Source organism: Homo sapiens, chromosome 11 (genome assembly GCF_000001405.40).
Source record: "Homo sapiens chromosome 11, GRCh38.p14 Primary Assembly".
Taxonomy (NCBI): Eukaryota; Metazoa; Chordata; class Mammalia; order Primates; family Hominidae; genus Homo; species Homo sapiens.
In genome coordinates this window covers 16,267,392-16,292,720 of record NC_000011.10, presented here as the reverse complement: position 1 = coordinate 16,292,720, position 25,329 = coordinate 16,267,392, and the positions used below count along the sequence as shown (strand labels likewise).

Sequence of the window (25,329 nt, the reverse complement as noted above, 5' to 3'; positions counted from 1 at the left end):
CAGTGGCACTTTCCAGCTGTATTCAGCCTATCCGTCGGGGTATAATCATGCTCAGTCCCAGCACCGCAGGCTTGGACATATGTTGAGTTTTATTTCTTTCTTCTGACATTAATCCTATTCACCAGCTGTTCTGCCAGCTGCCATTCTTCAGTTTAGAGATTACATTTTGGGGGATACCAACAAAGGTCTAGTTGACCACTGCTTTCTTTTTTTCACTTATTCTATAGAAATGATTGGACCTAGGGGTTAAGAGAACTCAATCTTTTCCCACTATCACCTCACTTTTCTTTGGATTCTAGACATTAACATGATTTATGATCGCTCTTAGTGTGTTGTAGATAAGCCTTCCAAAGCGCCAGATTACCACCTTACTTATAAATCCCCTTTCCATAAAAAGGTTTTAAGTTTACATTGAAGGATATAATTAATGTTTCTTATGCTATTATATAAACAACATTAATTAGTGGCAATTTCTTTTGATGTCCTAAAACATATTCCAGCTGAAAATATACTTTCAGTTCTTCTTTGTTTTTCCCCACAGGTTTGATAACATATCTGAGTTAAGATGATACTTTTCCTTTCCTGAGCTATGGTTTCACTAATCTTGTTTGAATGGGCTATTAAATCTCTGTTACACTCATAATATATACTAATAAGTAGTATAGATTTCTCACTTTGTATTCCAGATGATCTGCCCATAAGCAGGATGTTAAACATCTGTAGTTTAAGCCTCTGGGACTAACAAATGCATTAATGCCAGAAAGAAATGTGGCCTGGATGATAAGGTCACAGACCATGTGGTAAAGAAACATCCCCAATATTAAGTCTGCACATACCCTCCATTGTTAATCCTTCCATTTTCATAAAGGCAAAAAAGACTAATAGACTTAAGTTATCATCATTTACAGTACATATTTATTACATTAATACCAACAAATACACAAAATCCCATATGTGTTATAATTCTCCTCGCTGATATTTTGAAGTCATTTAAAATGTGTACGCACATGCCTCACAATAGCATTATTTTAGCCATTAATTTACCTGCCTACCTAAGAAGATGACATCAATATATATTTGTTTATAGACAAAATTCTGCTTTTGCCTCTTAACTTTGTGGCATATGTAGGTCCTATATTATGGTAAATAACTCAGTTTAAATAGCACCTTTAGGCTGGAGCCATTAGAATTGAGAACACCCTACTGAAACACACAAAACAACAACAACAACAAAAAACGTAATGGTGTATTCTGCAAGGTAGGTTTATTTGTTTATTCGTTCTTTCATCCATCCATCCATTCATCCATCCTTCCTTTCACTCATTTATTTGTTTATTTATTTATTTATTTATTTATTCATTCATTATATTGAGCAGGATATTACTTATTGAGCCACATAAAAGAAAACAGCATCTTGTGTTTACCAGACAGCACAACACCTCGTATATATATATATATATATATATATATATATATATATATATATATATAAATTTATAGAAAAATGAGAGGAAGTTTATAAATTGCCTGCTGAAAAAACTATTGATTCCATATTATCCCCCTATCTTCTCCCAAAGCTCTGACAGTAGTGAACCCCATTTACTAAATATGAACATTCTATTTATAGAAATATTCATATTTTTATTGGTGGCCAAAGCACTGCTTATAGGAAAACCTACAGGTGACTAATAGGAGTTGCTCACTAAGTGGAATAATGAATAGTATTAGGTGTCAATTAAATCAAGCTTCCCCGAGGTGCAGGTGCTCCACAATGTACTGACACATTTCAAGTAGCAGTGCCACTTCACCCATGCATATGAACAAGCACATTTGCATATTAAAAAGCTGAAAATTATTTAACTGAAGCAAAAGTCTTTTAGAGATGATGGAGGTTATTAAAACTGTTGACAAGAAAGAAGGTAATTGCCTGAAAATGAGAGATGACATTCTGCTATACACAGGGAACGTTGTTTTTGTTGTATTGTGCAGCAGTGCCTGGGTGTATAACCTATTACATTGAGATTGCTCCTATGCAATTAGACCCTTTTTGTCCTCACTTCAATAAGGCTATGATTATGAAGGATTGAAGAACACTTGGCATATTGAATGTCTGTTGTTTTTATAACTTCGTCAGAAATGACAAAACACGTTTTGTGTCCTGTTTTTTCTTTGTAGGCTTATTGATTCTGTGATTATAATATTCATAAAAGACAATGTGTTCATGGTTGAACACTCTGTCATTTATACAGGTTTTATTTTTTTCTGTCTCAGCATAGTATTTGTTTGAATGCCAAGGTGTTAGTCATAAGATGAGCAGATTTTTAAAAGTAAAAGATGAATAGGTGAGAAGTTTATCATGCTAATAACCCCAAATATTACTATTAAAAGTGTCATAAAATGGATGATTTCATAGGTTTCAGATGGAAATAATTCACCAACTAAGAAAACTTGAAAGCTATTTTATTTACTCTTTGATTTTGAGCTGTTTATTTTCATCAGATTTTTTAGTGCTCTTATTGTGCTTTGGTTGTGTTTGTTAGAAGAAATGAAGATTCATGGCCCTAGAGGAAGACACTTTCTTGATAGTCTGAGAGACAGTACATCTGGGTTGACTTAACTCCATTCTGAGGGTAGTAACCGAAACAAGTACAGTGAATATGGCAGTTGAAATGGAAACATGGAAATCATTGCAGGTGTAGGAAATTTCAGATTTTTTGCTTTATTAATATTATGCTTGTTAAAAGACTTTTTGTTAAAAGACTTTATATCTAATCATCTTAATTAGACTTCAGCTCCCAGCAGAACCATTGTAGCAATACTTGAAGTCCATTTTCATCACTGTATTTTTTTCTTGAAGATGAGTATTGGTATTCTTTGTGACGTAGCCATTGTAGTGTATTCAGGTGGACTTTAGGCCCATGTTAAACCACATTTTACTCTGGGCCAATCAACTTCTGCTTTTATTCCTTACAGAGATTTAAATCCTGGACTGGTTTGTCAGACACAGAATTGATAGGCTGCGAATAAAGCCCAGATGCACCTAGAAAGTTTTCTAGGAGTTTGTCATTTATGTGCTCTTTTTATTCTTTGATTTGGATGCATCTGGGCTTTAGTAAATCAAAAGGCACACCTAGGTTTTTTGTTAGCAGCTGTCTGGTTTATCTAATCTGACGTGTTCATTTCTTTAAGTTGAAGACAGAAAATGTCTTTAGGCATAGCAATCTGACTCTTGATTAGAAAGATAAAAGTGAGATACCTCAGTTGTTTTTGAACGCACATTATTTACTGCCTGCTGAAAACCTTAGCTATTTAAGAGATGAAAATCCTGAGGTAGTCATGCTCAAAGAGTAGGTTATGGAAGCTACCAGAGTGTGCCAGACTTGTCAGTTACTTCATATGCACAGATCTAGTCACATATCCTGCACCTTGATTTCTATTCATACAACCAGGGAGTTGTATGAAATTGTTAATTTTATTCCCTAATAGGTCATCTTGTTTAAAACTGTTAAGAAAAATCTTAACCTTACTTCATGTAACTGATTTTAGTAGGGAGTAATAATTGTTTTTAACTATACAAATAGCTAATGGAAAATTTTTTTCTTGGTAAATTAAAATTTTTGTTTTAATTCTTGCCATTTGTTTTGGTGCCATTACTTAATTTTTTTCTCAATAAATTCATTAATATGAGGACATCTTGTGCCCAGAATTCATTATATTATTTTATCTGACCTTTGAATAATTATCAGTTTGTGGATTAGAATTTTAAAAAACAAAGGTCAGAAATTAGCTTTCATTTTAATTTGTGAAAAATTGTATACTGGATATATTTATGTTAAATATGATTTGTTTAATGGAGACTAAGAAATAGGTTTGAGACAAATCAGGATTGTAGATCTCTGAATGTGTTCTGGAAATGAAAGTATTATATAAAATACTTTCTCTTTGTCCAAGGATAACTTCTACATAGAGACATCATATAGTACTGAGAAATCAAAGGTGTACTTTTTGGTAACTGAACTGTTATGAAACTTCACTATCTGGTATGTCATTGACAAGCCCTCATAGGCTTATATATATTAATAGCATGTCCCCATAAATGTTAGAATATTTAATAAATGAATGACTGGGCTCTAAAATATCTTACTAAAAAGTATATTTGAATGTACCAATGTTTAGCATTTCAGTGGTTTGAAGAAAATTCTAGCTTTAGAACATATCTGCTTTCTCCACTTAGATATCTACTTCTGATACTGCTTTTTCTCATATTTAGTATATCTAATGCCCTTGTAAACAAACACAAAGCCCACAAACCATCCTATTATGAGGATGGGAATGGTAAAAATGAGACTATAAAGCATATAAAAAGAGCAGGTTCACCAGGTCATGTGGACAGAAGTTGAATAAAGTATTTAGGTGGCTGATCCAGAGTAGGATAACTATAAACTCAAATATATTGAAAGACCAGGCCTTAGCATAGTCTTGAGTTGAGCAAGGGTTTGAAGAAATTGTATATGATGGGAAGAGAATCTTCTGAATCGGGGTTATTTCCAGGGAATACTGGACCCTTGAGAATTCACACTGTACTCCTGCCTTTTCTCTACTCCCTCTCTTGAACATTTTTCAGGTGAAATCAAGTTAATGAATAGCCAGTGTACCTGTAAAGTATGAAAGGCAGCACAAAGCCTGAAGGATATATATGAAGGTGGGAGACAATGTTACTAGGAAGTTTGGCTCAATTCCACCCTTCTCTTTTTTCAAAGGCAGATTAAATGTATGTGAGCTTAAATATACTTTAAATTTCATTTACAACCCATCTTTCTTCTTCCCTGCTCACTATTTTGGAGTCAATGGGAAACTTAGGAACCACCTGACGGTACCCAAGGCCCAACAAAGCTTCCCAGTGTGGGGTCAAATGTGTAATGGCTTGACTTTGTTGTATAAATGAGTATACCAGGAATTCTCTGGGTCTTTGTTAAGTTAATAATACTCTAATCGTACATAGTTTACAGTTTGCAAAGGGCTTTTGCATGCCTTATTTCAGCCTCATAAAAATTTTGAGTGTAAGGAAGGACAGATACTCTTATGCTATTCTAGAAATGAGGAAATTAATGATTAATGTATTGAATAGCTGGTAAATGGGGAGCTGGAGTAAAACTTTAGGGCACTTAATACTTATTTCAGTGTTTTTTCTATTCTTCTATGTTTCCGTTCAACATGGTAAGCACAGTGTCCAGGTGGAGTACTTGAGTTTAATGGGGCCCTTTGAGCTAACTTGCATTTCAGGCTTATTAGGATTGCATGAACTCAGTTGGCCTGTACTTTACTTGACCATTGTTAATGTCTTCAGGGTATGAGGAGGTTCTTTAAATACAGCAATAGTATAGGAGGAGCGTGTGTGTGTGTGTGTGTGTGTGTGTGTGTGAGAGAGAGAGAGAGAGAGAGAGAGAGAGAGAGAGAGAGAGACAGAGAGAAGAGAGATTAAAAGGAGAGACTAACAGGAAGAGATGGTATAGCACAATATAGCATCTCTTTGCCCCCAAATACCTAATCAAATAAACTATTGCTCTTCTCTTGAGTGACGCTTTTCATCAGAACAACAATTTTACATTTCATAGATTCATCTACATAACTATGTTAACAACAGCAACAGGAAAGTATATTTGTGTTTTCATGTTGCTTTGAAAAAACTGTCAAATTTAATTTTTTTCTAGCATTTTTCATAACAAACTTCTTCCATTAAAAAAACCTTATGGTGGAAAAATTTTCAAACCTACACAAAAGTAGAGAAAATAGTATGATGAGCCCTTATGGACCTATCATCTAGCTTAAACAATCATAAATATTTCATCTGTTCTACCACTTTTTTGGTTAAAGTTTAATTAAAAAATATAAATCATGAAATATGTCAAAAAATAATAAACCCAAATTTCTGCTACTATTATTTAACAGATATTAATAGTTTAAATTTATATTCCTTATATGAAACATGAGCACAGGACTGCAATAATTGGAAGATAGAAAATAGGCAAAGGGCACTGAAATAGAAGAGAATGGTAAAAGCACAATTTTCCAAAATATGTCTGCTAGCATTTCCTTTTTATAAGACACCACTACACATAAAAATTCATGTGACTCATAAATACCTCACTGAACACAGTGATCATCATATTAAAAGATATCTTAGTTATATTGAAGTATATGCTATATAGAGAGAGCATATAGCATATATATGCTGAATATGAATTGAAGGATATGCTGTATCTCTTAGTTATATATTAGTAATATCTTAAGACAATTTGGCCTGCAGTTTAGTAAATAGAATGTCCAGGAGCATTCCTCTTCTTCTTGATATGTACTAAGAATTTCTTGCTGCCAGGTCTGCCTGTTGGGAAGTCAGCAACAGTGACTAAAACTTCAGTAGACTCTTTAAGCAATGACGTTAGTCATTGCTTAGACACAAAACTAAGTTGCATAGATCCCAGTACACACTGAGATGCTTTTATCTAGCAGCTTATTCTGAATATCACCGTGGACCCTGGAAATCTGTAAAAGACATTCTCTTATTCGAGAAGGAAATCCTCTCCAGAGGCAAGAAATAAGACAACAACTGGATATTCATTTTATATGGCTTTAAAAATCATGATATTTTGCTTTATTTCAAGAAGCTCAGTTTCCTGAATTTGTGAGTACTTTTACCTTGGAACACTGTATCTTATCATTTTATAAGGCATATAATAGAAACGTATTCATTTTATTTTTCTATGCCAAATATGTATTCTCTTGGGAAATTCTAACAATGGAAAATACAAACAAATGTATATTATATTTGAGGGTTCATCAGAAGACTCATTTGCTTCCGTATCAATTGAAAACATTTACAGAGACTTTAGGTGGTTTTCCTGCCATAGCACATTTGTATTAGTAATATAGTTGAAATAACTTTTATTGATTTAGGATCAGGCAACATCTCAGAAGTATCTCTGAGTCTTTGTGATGATCATAGGATACAGCATAATAGAAAGTGTAGAAAATTGGGTGAATTTTTCATTCATTCGTTCACAGACATTTATTGAGCTCTTGTTGCATATTAAGCACAGTGACAGTCACTGGCATGTTGAAAAACACCCTGACATTTAAAATTTTTTAAATTCCTTCTAAAAATATATATAAATATATATACATATTTGGGATGGAGTTTCGCTCTTGCTGCCCAGGCTGGAGTGCAATGGTGCGATCTCGACTCACTGCCACCTCCGCCTCCTGGGTTCAAGTGATTCTCCTGTTTCAGCCTCCCGACTAGCTGGGATTACAGGCGTGTGCCACCACGCCCAGCTAATTTTTTGTCTTTTTGGTAGAGACAGGGTTTCTTCATGTTGATCAGGCTGGTCTCGAACTCCTGACCTCAGATGATCCCCCTGCCTTGGCCTCCCAAAGTGTTGGAATTACAGGCATGAGCCACTGCACCTGCCTTAAAAATATTTTTTACAATTATTCTATCAGTTTAATATTAAAACATTCAGTTAATTAGCATTTTATTTGTTGTAGTCTAGTTATTTGATATTTTAATGTCATTTATTTTGTTTTTTATATTTAATGAAAGAAAACTGGCAGGTTTGTTTCATCTGTTGTCCAGTTAGGCTCACTTGACTATACTGCCCTTCCAATAAAACCTAGAAATAGTCTGTTTTATCTAAAAAATTATAATTTATAATCTAATTTGCAACTGAAGTATATACTATGTGCTTTTAATGTACCTTAGTTATATGCCAATGGTCATAAATAAGAAGAGATAAGAAAGTGTTTAGACCTTAGGACATGTGTTTCATTATTACTGAAAAATCATTCAAAATACCAAGCAGATTAAATGAGCACAGTGGTAGGCACATGGGACAAGAATTTGAATAAAATACAGCTTTACCAGAAGAGGCTCACAAGGGAAATAGTAGCGGGTGGGTTTGGTATGGACGTAGGGGTAGACTGACATACGTGGGTTTCTATTGCACCCACACTTCCTGGATCATAGCTCTTCTAAAACACATTTGCATTTGCTTGGTGATGTACCTGTATTCCCTAGTAAACTGATGCTCAACCAGGGAAGGGCACCGTGTTTGTTTAATTCACCTTTTTCTTCCCAGAACCTAGCATATTGCCTAGAACATAAAAGGCGATCAATAAATATCTGTTGGGGAGTGAATATAAAAGATTATATTAATATAATATGTTAAACTATATAATAGAAGCATGAATAAGAAGGGAAATGTAGAGTAAATGGTACGAGAACTAAAACATCTTCTTTGAAGTGTGTAAAACTGAAAATATTCTATATCCACGTACAGTAAAACTAGGTTTACTTGTACTCTGTCAGAACACTCTTTCAACAGATATTTTTGCCTATTGACAAATGACAATAACATTTGCAAATTGTTAAATCATTCCTGAAGCAATACAAACTAAATTATGTTCAGTAGCAAATAACATAAACTCTATGAAAATTAATAGCCCATGTACTAATGTAGTAACTCTTTTAGTTAGATTATTTAATTAGCATGAACACCCAGTTCTCTACTGTAAGAGATATCAGAAGCAGCTTGATAGACTTGAGAGAGAAGGTATCTGTAGTCTTAGGTGATTGGAGTTAACATTTTAGGGTTGAAAATAACACTTCTTTCTTGCTAAATATTAATGTAAGAAGAAAGAAGTATTCTATCTCATTATTAATAGTGTAAACACATTATTTAAATATTGATATTAGAAACTGTGCATAATTATACTCTGAATTTGGTCATCTTTTATATTTTTCAGCAAGTCTTTCTTTCAAGATTTCTGGAGTACCTTAGTTATTTTAAACCATAACTGCTGAAAGGAGAATAACATGAATCTAGAGAACTTTTTAAAAAGTAACTGAAATTATCGAACATTAGCAGCATTGAATAGAGTTTCCTCTCTGACATAACAAGAAAATATGGTAAATATAATCATTCTTTGTTATAGGTTTGTTTGTGTCCTTCACTTGAGATAATTTCTTTTGCTATGTAGTGCTTAAGAACACAAAATAAAAATAAAAATGTTCTTAATAAGGTTTAGCACCTTTAATTGAAATAAAATTAAAGCCACAGAAGTAATCTTTTAGTGTTTTACAAAGGGTTTTCTTATGTTAGTGTTGTGTGTTTATGTATGTGTTTCTAACTTCTTTTGAAAATTATGGTTTAAAGAAAATTATTTTCTGATAAACTATCTAGAGGTAACTTATTTGGGATAATTTATTGTTTCACCTTTTGAACATAATTTTCTTGAGCAATTTTATTGTACAACATAAAATCATCTACTTTTTATTATGAAAGCATTCAAGAATTCTATGCAATGTTTTTGATATATATTTCTATTTTAATATTTTTAATCAATTTATTTTTTAAAAGTAGGTTGTCAAATTTTCTTGTTTATGATTGTTTATAGATACTGAAAACAGCCTGTTTCTTGCATGAATACTATTTGAGTCATCTACTACTTGAAATGTGGTTTGGATATTGCCATTCAATTGATATGAACTGGGTGGCACCAAAATAAATGTTTTCATTTTTATATTTGGCTTTGACCCTCAGCAGAGTCATATATATATATATATATATATATACAAATTATATATAATTTACATATATATACAAATTATATATAATTTACATATATATATATATATATATATACTCACATCTCATAGGGCTCCCTTTCTCTCTCTCACCAAATAAATTTTGATTCTCCCATTTTTAATATGGGCAATTATAGAGTTGTATTTGATATCTTGCCAAAATATTGGGCAAATATATGTGTGCTTGTATAATCACTTCAAGTAGTAAGAACATTAATTTTAAAACTGTGGTTTAAAAATATTTTTAATTTTCATAGCTGATAAAGTAGTAATGGATTGTCAAAATGTATAGTTTTTTGGCGTATACATATTTTGACAATTGATATTTAGTTTGAAATTTCTTTAAATAACCTCCAAATTCATACCTATTTTTGCTATGGTTTAATAATAAATATAATTCAATAATAATGAATTATATATCTTCAAAATGGCAAATAGACTTTCAAAAACTGTTCAGGATCAAATGTTCTTATCATGGAAATGTGTTTTTTTAACCACCATTTAAAACTGGGCTTAAAAATTTAAAAAAGTTAGTGGGTATCAAGAAACAGTTATAGCTGGCCAATTTGATAGAGTTACTTTGCATATTCAAGAAATTCCTGTATTAATCTCTACTTCACATTCATTGTGTATGTAATGTTCCAATAATTAAACTTGTAAACATTTTAAAAATAAACTTTATTTTGAGTCCAGAAAACTTAACTACTTTCTTGATGAAAAGTAAAATAAATGAATATCTGTATTTCTTTCCAATAAAGACTGGCAGGCATGGTTTCATTATCCTTTCATCAAATACATATTCTTTATTATTATTTTATAATATTTAGTATAAGAATTATTTGATTGCATCTCTTCACCTCAATGGAAGGGAACAGATATAAGGCATTTTATTTGAGTTTCATGACTATATATTTGACTGAGAAATGAATATATGAAAATATTGTGGTAAACTTACTGAGATTTATGAGAGAAAGTATCCCAAATTAATTTTTTTTCTTGCATCTAGTGTGCATTGTATGTCCTGAATTTCCTAAATCTGTATTGTCCTTTTTAGTAAAAGGGTGTGTGTGTATATATATATATATATATATATACATGATTTTATATATATGTGATTTTATATATAATAACTTGTGTATATAACTTGTCTAATATTATGTAACTTGCTTTTATGTTAACGTTTATATTTGTGTGTTCGTATAACTCAGTGAAAATACACATAATAAAGCCATGACTTTTTTGGAATCTGAAGATATGAATTTGCGTTGGTGTATCATCATGGGAAAATCACTTAACCTTTTTGAATCTTTTATAATATTGGGAAGTTATTACCTAGGTGACAACATTAAATAACACATTTAATGAAGCTTAAATAATATAGAATGTTTAAATCACTTGCCAGACTTAAGTACTATATTAACAGATATTAATATGGAATCTGTTTTATAGTCACCATAGGGTCTATTAAATACGTATGTTATTGATTACTAAGAATCAACAAAGTTTTACTAGGTTTGGAGATTTTGTTCCAATCACTTCCACTATTCCTGAAAGCTTTGATTATGTCTGACAAATACAGTAGGAAAAATGAAATACATCTGTATATAATGTGTGGATATAAATATTTATGTGTGTCTTTGTAAAGATTGCTCTATCTTGTGGGAAAAATACTCATATCTTCAATGGTAATTCATGTGTCTTTCATTCAAATAAATGTACGAAAACTTCTTTGACATAGCATTTTGGGGTCTCTGTTACTCGGAGAGAGAGAGAGCATGCAGGCAGGGTAGCAATGACCATACACATATATGTGACACATACACGACCAAAAGCAATTTGAAAAGCTATGACTTCTGAACATTTGACATCTTGGATCCAATTTTATTTTTTAAAGGGGTTTATTCTGTTGGTAATAAAGTTTTAGGCTTTACTTCTGATACTTGGAAACTTCTTTGGAAGGGCAGATGTAGAGTGAATAGAAAAACTCTAACTCTCGTGTAGCTGCAAGGAAGTTTATCCTCTTTCTACTGTCCTACTTTGTTGAGGGCTGACTCTTTCAGACTGTAGGGATGATTTAAATTAATGACAATTGTACTGATCTGCTATAACTCCAGAGTACATTTTGTTTTCAACTAAAATGGATTTGGTTTCTATCAATATGTAGTATTTATATGACAAAACGATAATTAAGGCAAAGGAATTTATTGAAATAGTATGTTATTTATGTTATTACAGTGTCCTTATATATGCATATTGAATATTCATACATATAACCATACAATATGAACACCTTTCTTTGTTTTTAAAAATGCATGTCTAGCACATAAGTAATTCAACCGTACACAAGATAATACGATTCTCTTTAACTACTGGTGCCATTAGTCATTTGGTGAGAAAGTAGCTCATGGTCTATAGGGAAACACAGTTTGATTTGGATTGGGTTTTAAGAAGTCATTGTTTTGTTTGGAAAATGTGAAATCGGTGAATGAGCTTGTTCTCTTTGTAGAGGATTACAATAACACACGGAAGCTTATGAGTGCTTCTGACAGATGTGTTGGCGGTTTGCCACAAAGTGAAGGGTGCGGCCCTGACTGACAACTTGCAATTATATTATGATGAATGGTTCTGATGTGTGTTCAAGAGAAAACCACTTTCTAGAAAGTGAAAGTCATGCATACGGTTTCTATAAAAAAAAAAAAAGCTCAAATAAAGTATTATAACTTTCTATTTTATTTAAGCCCAAATTTGGTGGGCTAACCAATTTGAGTCATTCCCTTCTCACAAAGGTCTCTGTTTTTGATAAATCAAGGACAAAATCCAAAATTTTTGTGGGGAAAGCAAATTTGATATCATTTTTGGCATCAAAATTACTGTATCTGCATTTTCGACAAAACTGACATCTCCAAGGAAATATTTGACTCTTACGCATACACTGAAAACATATACATATGTCCATGGTTGGCCAATAAGACTAATGGAGTCAAGCATTGAGAAAGAAATGGCCTTTTTTGATTAAGTCATTTCTTGATACATTTTGTTGTTTGCTTACCATTGAAAAACTTTGTTTTCAAATGACGTGTGGACTGAAGCTTTGGGTCATTTTGAAATTGTTTTCACCCTTTTCTGATTTAATTTATCTTAAGAAAACTCTGAGTATAGCATCCAAATATAGATTTTTCAAGAGTTAGTATGCCTCATTGGTATACAATTTAATTACTCAGTAATCAAGCTATAATGCATAAAATATGTATTAACTAAGCTGGCACTTTTGTTTTCATGAATTAAGAAAAAGTTGATTTTCAAAAACTAAATCAAATAAAAATGTGAAAGTAGGTTTTGGGTGTATTTTCTTGCACAATACTTAAATTGTGCAATTTGTAACTAACTTTCAGCATATTTACCTAGCATATCTTATTTAAAATACTGTTATTTTGAAAATGTAAGTTTTCATCTGATTCTCTGATGTTCCCAAGGCATATTATTATTGAAGTTAGTCAAGGACTCTGTATTAAAAATATTTAATAAGCAACATTGTAATTGTGAAGATGAAATTCAAATACATGCTGCAACATTTAGCATATAAAGAAATATAGTCACAATAGCCAAACTCTTCAGAAATTGAAATATGAAAGTGAGATATTAAATAGTATTATTTTTAAAAGATAGTCTAAAAACTGGAGGAAGAGAATTATTGATTTACCCTATATTTCTCAAAATTTGTCATATGATTTTGCCTTGTATAGGTTAAAATGAGGTCATATAAAGTCTTGATATGATCCAAAAACAAGTTTCTTAGGAATTTGAATGACTTTATATCTCAGTTTTATAGTATCCAGTTTTTGTCCTTTGGACTTGTTTTCTTTTCATTCCCTTGGTAACATTTAGGGTGTATCCACTGTTGTATTTCAATAGTGGGACTTTTTCATTGTTACTGAAATACATTAAGCTTTTCAGAGTAAAAGAATGGCAGTGTGGAAATTACAGCATTCTTGTGAAAGTATCAAGAGTCCTGCAGTTTCGTTGTAGACAGAAATTCTAAGAGGAAAAAAAGACACTCACATAAGCTTTTTAGTGTTTTTGCTCATTTCACATTAGTCTTCCTGTACCTATTTTTTCCTCTGTGGCATCAACTCATCATTTACCATTTGAACCTATACATCCAAGAATAGGAAAATGAAGGCTTGATCAACTGGATGGTTATTGTTTTCTTTTTGGGTTTCTGTTTTTGAAGCCCTCTGAATTTTCTTTACCCCATTAGATCTAGGTCTATATTCTAGCCTCATTTAATAATCTATAAGAATTTTCTGTCATTTAGGATTTGAGTCCTTACTGTTAAAGTGACCTGTAGGTTTTCTCTTCATCCATGTTCAAGTTGATAAAATACATTATTTTCATCTTCAGGTTTTCTTTCACTATCTAATTTCTTTCTTTTTTTTTTAATCAAGCTCTAAACTTGATGTTATTGTTCTGGGGCCCCAAATCTTTGTGCTTGATTTAGTTTTCACTTGGAAGAGAAATAGTCACCATCTATTTGCAGGTGCAAGTTAAGGCCTGTTAGAAAGCTTGGCGTCTACGCTATGAGCTCTGAGTAATATTTTCTAGTGTATAGTTTTGATCAGATGAAGTGTGTATTTGTGGGAAGAAAGAAGCTTGTATTGTTTTATGTTTGTACCATAGGTCATAATTACTGTATTGTTTATAGGATAATAAACTCATTAGGCAATTATGCCTTGTTGGGTTATTTGAAACATTTGTTTTTAACTTGAATGCTCTCAGGTAGGTAATAATTAGATTTCATTTGGGATCTTTTATTTTAATGAAAGTTACCCAGAATAAACTGCATTTTTTTTGGTTTAAAAATTAAAAAAACGTTATTTGGCATTTTGGAAGTAAGCTAGGCTAAATAGTAGTAGCAAAAGAGGAAAGTCAGTTTTTCCTCTTTAAATGGTTGAGATAAGGTAACTTAACATTTTATAAGATTTAGGTAAAATTTGCCTGGATTGTTCATTGTTGATCCTATCAATCACTAAGAGAGAAATATATATATAGGCTGTGACTTTTATCAAGTACTTTCTGTAATACCAGGCATTGGCCAAGTGCTTTTAATACATGATCTCATTTAGTATTCACAATAACTCTATGATGTAGATACTATTCTTACTTTGTAAATGATAAAATTGGCCTAACCAAGGCCACAAAGTTAATAATAGGCAGAACCTTACTTTGAAACCACGTTGAATAACTCCAAACCCAATGTGATTAATTATCTTGCTATATATTAAACTATAAGGGAAATTGACTGTAAAGTGAATGCTACACTTCCAATCCCCCAGCAGGGGAGGAAAGAAAGATAAACGAATGTGGGATTTTCTATCTTCACTCCTGATCCAAAGAAAGTGTGGAGTCTTTGGAGCAGCTATAGGCTGAGGGGTAAATGGAAGGTTAGTAGCCTATGAAGATTTATCTTTTGTTAAGTACTTGTGGAAGATACCAGACTTTATTGTGCAGTCCAATTTTTTCTTTTTATTCTATCTGCTTCTTTGTAACAGGAGCTGATCACACAGTGTTTACAGTCAGCTTGGATTCCATAACAAAATACCACAGACAGGATGGCTTAAACAACAGAAATTTATTTTTCACAGTTTTGGAGGCAGGAAAGTTGAAGATTGAGGTGTTGGCAGATTTGGTTCCTTGTCAGGGCTGTCTTCCTGCTTGAAGATCTCTGTCTTCTCCCTGCATCCTGGCATCCTCACATGGTGGAGTGGGTGGGGGCAGTGAGAGGGATAAGAGGGAGATCTCTTCTTCTAAGGTCAATAGTCCTGTTATGAAGGCCCCACCTTCATGATCTCATCTAAACCTAATTACCTCCCAAAGACCACGTCTCCAGATACCATCACTTAGAGGGTAGGGCTTCAGCATATGAATTCTGGGGGAACATAGTTCAGTCCATAGCACAGAGTCCTCTCATGCCCCTTAGGTAATCTGCCTTAGAGCAAGGATTCTTCGGTGACAATGTTTAACATATATAGCTTCTCCCACTAAAGTGTTCTTTGGTGCTAGGCATGGTGAGCATTTATGTCTTAGATTAAACTGTTTTTACTAGAATGCTCACTGCGTGTGAAAAGCTAAGTGTTTTAAAAATGTTACCTCATTTAATCTTTGCAGCAAATGAAGAAATTGTGGTTCAGTTATACTTCAGGTGACAAAATTATTAGGTGCTAAAACTGGCATTAATTAGGAATGTTTTAAGATGCAAGTATCCACAACAAAAGAAAACAAATAAAACAAAATACTCAACACACTGTAGCTTAAAGAAATAGGTGTTTAATTTTTTCACATAGCAGGAAGTCTGAAGGTAAGTGGTTTCTGGTATGGGTACAGGAGGTTGACAATGTTAGGACTTGATTGCATTCCTGCAAATCCTCTGGCCTTCCCTTTATCATTATAAGATGGTCGCAGCAGGCCCACATTCTGTAAGAGGGAGCAGTGGATGGTGCATGACGAAGAATTATTCTATTTATACCTTTTTTATTTGGGGGACAGAGGTAATCAAGGTTAAAAAAATTCTTTTCCAGAAGACCCATAGCAGGCTTTCTTCCATGTCTCATTATCTAGAACTAGGTCACATGACTAATGACCCTAGCTGCAAAGGAGACTAGTAATGCAAATGTTTTGATTTTCCAGTTTCTCAAGTGGAAAGCAGTTGAAGGAGAAGGGAATCATGAATGGCTTTTTCATTGCCAACCTAGTCTCTTACAGGGCTACACTTATAGCCAAGGTCTTTAGGTTTAGTTTCTACCTTTCTGGCAGAATCTCTAACTTTGCTGAGGAAGGACTTGCACATATTTTTGCAAATCTGAGAAGTCATATTTTTGTGTCTCTTTAGAGATAATTTTGAGTTACATTTACAGAAAGTGGTAGAAGTAAGTTTGGACTTAGACTTTCTCGGTCAGGATCCTACTTCTACTATATATTAGCTATCTGGACTTGAGGAAGTTTCCCAACTTCTCTGACCTCATTCTACATACTTGTATATTTTAATGCAATTCATATATTTAAAGTACTTAGTTTAATGTACATCATATTATATCAAGTGCTATCATATCAGATACTCAAAAACTGTTATAGTATTTATTCCACTATAGGTAAAAAGAGAAGAAAAGTCTCCCAGATAACTACAAATATTACAATATGAATCTATTTATATTTTTGATCCTTTGTAATAAAGTGTCTAAGATGATATTCACTTCCTGATCTGAGGAAAGCTAAGAAGTACTTGAAATTATTACATGTGATAACAAAAAGCTAGATAAGTTTTCCAAGAAAACAAATGCATATATGGTTTCTATGTGTAAGTTGCTACTCCAATTCCAACTCTATTGCTATCTCTGTCTACCCTTTCTGAAATGTCCTATTCTCTAAAATACCTATGCTTCCTTTTCCCTTATCAAATAGGCCCTTTGTATAAGTGATCTTAGGTGATAGGAGGAAAAATATTTGATTAAGGTATTTTAAATTCGATTAAAATAATTCACAATAAGATGTTAATAACCAATTGGCTTAACTCCCCAAAGGAAGAGGTGTTTTTTTGTTTTGTTTTGTTTTGTTTTTTGTTCTTTTTTGAGACTGAGTCTCGCTCTTTCGCCCAGGCTGGAGTGCAGTGGCACGATCTCGGCTCACTGCAAGCTCCGCCTCCCAGGTTCATGCCATTCTCTCCTGCCTCAGCCTCCCCAGTAGCTGGGACTAGAGGCACCCGCCACCACACCCGGCTATTTTTTTTTTTTTTTTTTTTGTATTTTTGGTAGAGATGAAGTTTCACCATGTTAGCCAGGATGGTCTCAGTCTCCTGACCTCGTGATCCGCCCGCCTCGGGCTCCTAAGAGGTGTTTTGTTTTAAAGATGAGCTTATGAAATAATTGCGAAGAATCCTTACTTTGTGTAATATGTAAGGGGAATTTAAGAAAATGTATTATAAAACTCAAGTGTACAAAAAGCTAGAAAGAATGTTATAATTAACCCTTGTATACCCATTACTTAGATTCTAGACTTTTCAAGATTCTGCCCCTCTGTATCCATTAGTCTTTTATTCCTTTTTCTTTTATTTCTTTTCTGAAGTAATAGGGAAATTTAAAAAGTAAGACATAGCTGTCCAATGCCCCTTGCCTAGGCTACCTGCATACTATTATACTTAATGACATAATAATAAGGTGAGAATTTGTTACACAAAGCCAAAAGGCCTAATAATTTATTTAGGGGAAATCTCTTAGTTGAGATTTCACGTATTGTCTTTGGGTTAGCTGTCTGAAAATACTTAAGAATGAACAAGTTTGATTGTGACCTTTGTATCACTTTCTATGCTGAGGAATAACTTCATTTTTGGGCAGCATGATGAATACAGCGCCTTTAATCCTTTTGTTTTTAATTTAACAAATGTGGGAATGTGCAAAGAGGGGAATAATCATTTGTCTTCTTGCTACCCAGCACTAAACATGGTTAATCTCTTTGCATATTTACCTCTGTGTGTTTTTAAAGAAAAATAATTGTTGTTTTTCTTTTAAAGATCCTTTTGAGAAAGAATCAATACAGAAATGTATGAAAATTAAAAATAGAAAAATTAATACCACCACCTAGAAATTAACATCATTAATATTAGATAGATATCATTCTTACACATTTATACAAATGGAAGGATAAGTGAGTGGGCATATGGATGGGTGGACAAATGGAAAGGCTTTTGTAAAAATGGGGTCATACTGTAGATGCTATCTAAATATAAATTGATACATTTTATTTTACTTTATAGAAAAGAAGAAACCAAGGTAGAATTAGAGGAGTTGCTGAATCCCAAATCAATGTTTATTTTTAGCATTAGGGATAATATTTGCTAAAAGATTTCCCTTAAGGCTTAAAAACTGGAGAGGAGGGACATTATGAAAAATTAAGAGGCTTTCTCATTATGTCTAGTTTATAAAAGCTACATATTTATTTTTAAAAGAAACAGTTGGCTTTCTGTTTTGAAAGATAAGGGCATTATACACTTTCTCCCAAATCTCTACTGCCCACTTCTCAGTTTTTGTTAATTATTTTACTTTTGCATTGTTTAGGTTTATAACATTTACATTCTTTTTGTATTTATAATTCCCATAGTTGTTCAATGTTTATTCTATATGTATATGAATTTAGTCATCACTCCTAATTCTTTTACCACAGCTTCTCTTTTTCTGACTTTTTTTCACTTTTTCTTTTAGTTGGCAGAATTTCATTGTTAAGAACAAGGCCCTCTTCTTACAGCCCCCTAAGGGCTTAGGAGTGTAGTATTCCCAAATTTCTATAACATTTGTATCTACCTGTTTTTCATCTTCGTATGTGACATCTTTCTTTAGCATTATATTCTTGATCATGTTTTTTTTCTTCCAGGATTTTTGTATTTATTTCCTCCTGGTTGCCTCTTTGCCTTATCTCCTTAGAAGATGGAGAAAATTATTTCTCAGGGGTGAAAAAATATTGAGGTAGATGTGGGGGAGAACTCAGCTGAGGTGACATGTAGCTTTTATTTGGGATCTGAGCTGTCTCCTCTGAGATTTTGCAATTTGAATGGGGATCAGGGTCTATCATTCATTCAGAAGAATACTTTTTGGATCATTGACCAGATTTATTGTATAGACTAGATTATTTACATCTGTCAGACAGAAATAGCCCTGTGGTTCACTTTCCCTATATTATTTTTCTTCTTATTTTTCTTTTCTACTACAGATTGAAAATGAAGAAGATAACAAAACTTGTTCAGTTTGCTTCTTTCCAGATTTGGAAATATTAATGACAATTCTTAGTATTTTGTTGACTCACGCACATCATCTCTATTTCTTTCCTTGGTTGCTAGTTTTTGAGGTTTATTACATTTAGTTATTTTGCTTTTCCTGTTTGGTAGCTGTTGGTAATTTTTTTTCTGACTTTAATTTTGTATTTTAATAAGTAATTGACGGAGTGAAATTTGTGAGCTAGTTTTGATTTGCCTTCATAATCAGAAATCTTGCATCTTTAATTCTTGTTGGAAAAGTATAATTCAATAATACATCTATCTAACATTTTCAGGTAACATTTTGACTTAAACCATGAGAAGAGACTTGATTGCTAATATTAATCCCATTTTAAAATACATATATCTCAAGGCCAGCATCTTCTTCAGGGTCTTTGCTACTCAAAATAACATTGTGCTAGATGGAGTGTTATAGCACATCTGCTATAAGGCTAGATGAGGTTGAAAGCAGAGAGGTTGAAAATGTCAGGAGAGGACAGGAAGCAATACAGAGTTCTAGAATTTCTCTTGAATGTATATGGGAACTTAATTTGGTCTCATTTATTTCATTCATTAAAAGTCATTTTTCATCTATATCTTGAGACAATGTTTTCTAGAACTATTTATTATTGAGATTTAAATCAGATGACTTATTTTCTCATATCTATAACAATTGCAGTAATTATAAAATATTGATTGGTTGGAAATAATGACCAAATTACATATTTTGCTAAAGATCGTGAAATTACTTTAGCCCATAAAGAATAAGCTTTTTAATGCTAATGATACTGCAGTAATTATATACACTTTATATTCTGTTTTGAGACTGTTTATTTTTGCTCCTCAAATTTTGGCTAGGTGGGCAAATTCAGTGTAGTGTAGAGATTTTGTAGTAGAGAAATTGAAAGTGTTTAGAAACAGAAATTATTTATGGATTTAATCATTTGTGAAGTGGATAGATGACCATCTTCCCCCCTTTTTTTGGTTTCTGTGTTCTTAAAGTCTGCTAATCCCAGCCTCGAACTGTTCTTATGTAGTTTATAGTTTATATGTTCTTCACAATAAAAGAGATTGATGAGATTAGATGAATGAAATAAAGAAACTTTGATCATTAACACAATTTAAAATCAAAGGTCTTTATACCTGGAAATTAAGAAAAGAAAAATTTTTACTAAAAACTGTTAAATAAAAGGGGAAATATAATCTGAATGTTACAGAACTAAAAAATAATTATGAAGAAAACACTTCATTTTGAAATTTATGGAATACATTTTAAATGGTGATCAGAGGAAAATTCTATTTTATTAATATAATTAATCAGTAAAATTACAGAGTAAAATAAATGAATTAAATTATAAGTTAAGAAAATGATAAAAAAGACTCACCAATGAACCAAAGAAAAAAGCAAAGTAATAAATAATGAAGATAAAAAGCAGAAATTAATGTGATAATTTTAAAACAGTTTAATCAAAATATAGTTTAAAAATAATTAATATGTAATACAAATTTTAACTAAATTGATCAGTAACTTGAAAACAAAAACATAAACACGCAAAATATTGAGTGACAAAAGTAAAATGACAATTAAATTACAGAAAAATATAAAAATCAAAAGATCCCACTTTTTACATTTATATGCAAATAAATTTGAAAACCAATGTAATGTGGATCATTTTCTAGAGAAATAAAAATAACCAAAATTGACTCTGTTAAAGATAGAAAGCCTAAAGAGATTGATTTCCATAGAGGAGATAAAGAAAGTTATCACAGAAATACTCTTAAAGCACTAGGCCCAGAAAGTTTTACAGGAGAATGCTATCATATCTTCAAACACCAGATAGTCCCAGTGCTCCATAAATCATTCCAGAGCACTGAAAATAGAGGAAACTTTCTAAATATGTTTATGAAGTAACTATAACGTTATACCTAGACTGAGAAAACAGTACCATAAAAGTAAATTGCAGAAATTCACATAAATATTGATGGAAAAATACTAAATAAAATATGAGCAAGTATAATCAAATACCACATTAATAATAGATTATACAAAGTTCAAGTGGAATTATTCCAGTAGTGCAAGCTTGGATATTCCTTAATAGAATATATTATATTTATGGATCTAAGGAAAAAAAGTCTTGGAATAATCTCCAAAATGTTGAAAAAAGCTGCAAAATAATTTGTAACACATTTTTGATAAAATACTCAAAATATAAATGGATGTATTCTTTCTCTGATTTCTACTGTGGTAAAATAAATATAACATAAAAGTTACAGTTTTAGCCATTTTAAGTGTACAATTCATTACTCTTAATTACATTCATAGTTTTTATAACTATCACCACTATTCCCAAAACTCTTTCATTACCCTAAATAGAAACTCTGTAATCAGCAAACAATAACTTCCCATTCCCCAGTCCTGAAACTCCCTGGTAACCTCTACTGTACTTTCTGTCTCTATGAATCTACTTATTCTAGATATGACTAGGTAGAATTATATAATATTTGCCCTTTTGTGTATGACTTTTATCAACTAGCATAACATGTTTTCAAGATTCATTTATGCTGTAGCATGTGTCAAAACTACACTCCTTCTTATGGCTGAATAATATTCCTGTGTGTGTGTGTGTTTGTGTGTGTGTGTGTTATTACATTTTGTTTGTTCATTCATCTATTGATGGGCACTTGGTTTGTTTTTACATTATGGCTATTGGTAATAATGGTGCAATGCACAACATTGGCATATATGTATCTGAATTCATATTTTCATTCTTTTGAGTATAAACCTAGGAATGGAATTGCTGGGTCATAAAATAATTCCATGTTTAGCTTTTTGAGGAATTGCAAAACTGTTTTCCACAGTGACTACACCAATTTATTCCTCGCCTCCCCCGCAATGTAGGAGGATTCCAATTTTTCCACATCCTTAACAAACATTTGTCATTTTTATTTTCTTTTTTAAAAATTATAGTCATTCTAGCAGATGTGAAGTCATATGTCATTGCAGTTGTGATTTGCATTTCCCAAGTGATTAATGATGTTGAGCATCTTTTCATGTGCATCTTGGCCATTTGTAGATATTCTTTGGAGAAATGCCTGTTCAAGTCCTTTGCCCATTTTAAAATTGGGTTGTCTTTTGGTTGTCAAGTTGTAGAATTTCTTTATATATTGCTAATATTAAACCCTTATCAGATATTATTGATTATTTATTAACAGGACAAAATACTCTAGTTCTAAAGTGTACAACTTACATATGAAGAAATGCTACAGGAATTTCCCTTAAGATCAGGAACAAGGCCAAGCTGCCCACTGTCACCACTATATTCAACATTTTTCTGAAGGTATTAGCCAATGCAATTATACAAGATAAATGAATTAGAGGTATAAGAAGTTGTAACGAAGTAAAATTATCTATATTGGCAGATGATGTGATAGCATACCTAGGAATGCTTAGAAAATAAATTTTATAATAAAAGAAAAATTCTTCCGTGGTAAAATTAATATACAACAATTAATAGCTTTTGTAGAAAATAGCACAGCCAATTAGAGGATATAATTAATGGTAGAAAAAACACCATTTGCCGTAGCAACAAAGAAGATTAAATATTTAGGAGTAAACTTAAAAGAAAATATACAAATTTCATATGAGGAAAGCTTTAAAATAATCCTAAAAGACACAGTAGTACATCTGAACAAATAAAACGACATCCCCTTTTGGTGGATAGGGCAACTCAACATCATGAAGAAGTTAGTTATTTATAAGTTAATTTATAATTTTTAAATTTTTATAAATTTATAATTTATAAATGTAACACATTCCCCGAAGTTTTTATGATGAGGCTAGTCAAGTTGATACTAAAGTTCATATGGATAAACAAACATGCAAGAATAGTGAGGAATATACTTAAAAAGAAAATTACAAATGCAGGGGGTATGAGAATAGTCCTAATAGACATTAAAGCAAACTATAAAGTCTGTAATTAAAACTATGGAGTACAGTAATGGCAAATGAATAAACAAGGAGAATAAAGTCCATAATTAAACCCAAATATGTGTGGAAGTTTAGTATATAATGAAGTTAGCATTTCAAATCACTAGGGCATAGATAAACTTTTTAATATATGGTATAGCCATATATTAAATTCAAATGCGGTAGCCATTTAAAAAAGATAACGTTAGATCTATACTTAATACTATAGAAAAGAATAAACTCCAAAATGATCAGAGATCTAAGGGTTAAAAAAAAAAGCAATATATTGCAAGAAAACATAGGTGAATTTCTCTTGAATGAAAGGCCTTATGACTCAGAATCCAGAGATAATAAAGGAAAAGCATGCTAGATTTGAATACATACAAATAAAAGTATTTGCATGTTAAAAAGATCATAAGTAAAACCAAAACAAAACCTACAAATTGAGAGAAAATATTTGTCCATATATAAAAAATAAAGGACTAATATTCCTAATATATAAAGAACTCTGGAATTTCTGAAAATTTGAGGGAAATAAGGACAAAAAAATCTCAAAACAAAGAGAAAAGGACATGGATAGACAATTCAAAAAACAAATGTAAAAATGGCCCTATGTAGCCTATGAAGAGATACTATTTTCAATTATTGAAGCGATACGACTGTCAGATATTAAGAAAGGGGTGTTGAATTATCTGACTTACAATTGTGAATTTGTCATTTCTTCTTGTAGTTATATCAGTTTGTGATACGTATATTTTGAAGCTCTGTTACTAGGTGCATAAACAATTAGAATGACCGTCTTCTCTATCGTATCATCATATATCATATCATATCATATACTTTGCCATTATGAAATGATCCTCTTTATCCCTGATAATAGTTTTTGCTCTAAACTCTACTTTGATATTTATATAGCAACATAGTCTTATCAAGGTATATATGAGTTTTGCTTTTTATCCAGCTTGACTATCTCTAACTTTTTAATGTTATGTATTGACAAATTATAGTTGTATGTATTTATGGGGTACATGATGATATGATGATTTTTGAAAATGATGTGGAGTGATTAAACTAACCTATTCATCATGTCAAATATTTGACATTTTTGTGACAAAAACATTCGTGATTTACTCTCTTAGTGATATTGAAATGTGCAGTACTCAATTACTAGCTATATTCACCATGCTATACAATATGTCTAAAAAAAACACTTATTTTTCTTATCTAACTGTGGCTTTGTAGCCATTGATTGCCATCTCTCCATTTCCCCATACCCTAGACTCTGGTAACCACCATTCTACTCTCTCCTTCTGTGAGTTGAGTTGTTTTAAATTCCACATATAAGTGAAAATGTGGTATTTGTCTTTCTGTGTTTGGCTTATTTGACTTAGCATGATGTTCTCCAATTCCATCCATGTTATTGCAAATGACATCTTTCTTCCTTTATTAAGGCTGAATAGTATTCTTTTGTGTACATATGCCACATTTTCTTTATCCATTCATCCATTGATGGACACTTAGCTTGATATTCCATAACTTGGCTATTGTGAATAGTGCTGCAGTGAACATAGGCATGCAGACATCTCTTTGACATACTGATTTTAAATCGTTCAGGTAAATTCCCAGAAATGGAATTGCTGGATTATATGTTAATTATATTTTTAGGTTTTTCAGGAACCTGCATACAGTTTTTCATAATGGCTATACTAACTTACATACCCACTAACAGTATACAAAAATTCCCTTTTCTCCACATCCTTGCCAACACTGGTTATCTTTGGTCCTTTTTATACTAGCTATTCTAAACAGGTGTGCAATGATATCTCCATATGATTTTGATTTGCATCTCCCTTGTGATTAATGATTTCAAGCTTTGTAAATGTATTTCTTAGCCACTTATACGCCTTCTTTTGAGAAATGTGT

General features: G+C 32.0%; 1 protein-coding gene across 6 annotated transcripts in view, besides 1 other annotated feature; it reads left to right on the top strand.

Annotated features, from left to right (window-relative positions):
• Positions 1–25,329, top strand: part of SOX6 (SRY-box transcription factor 6) — a 772,029-nt gene that overhangs the window by 445,757 nt on the left and 300,943 nt on the right. The window lies entirely within an intron of this gene.
• Positions 1,386–2,674: an enhancer, noted in NCBI's record as "VISTA enhancer hs883". NCBI's record gives its function as "enhancer in: forebrain[6/6]" and the evidence as "EXISTENCE:transgenic organism evidence [ECO:0001131][PMID:17130149]".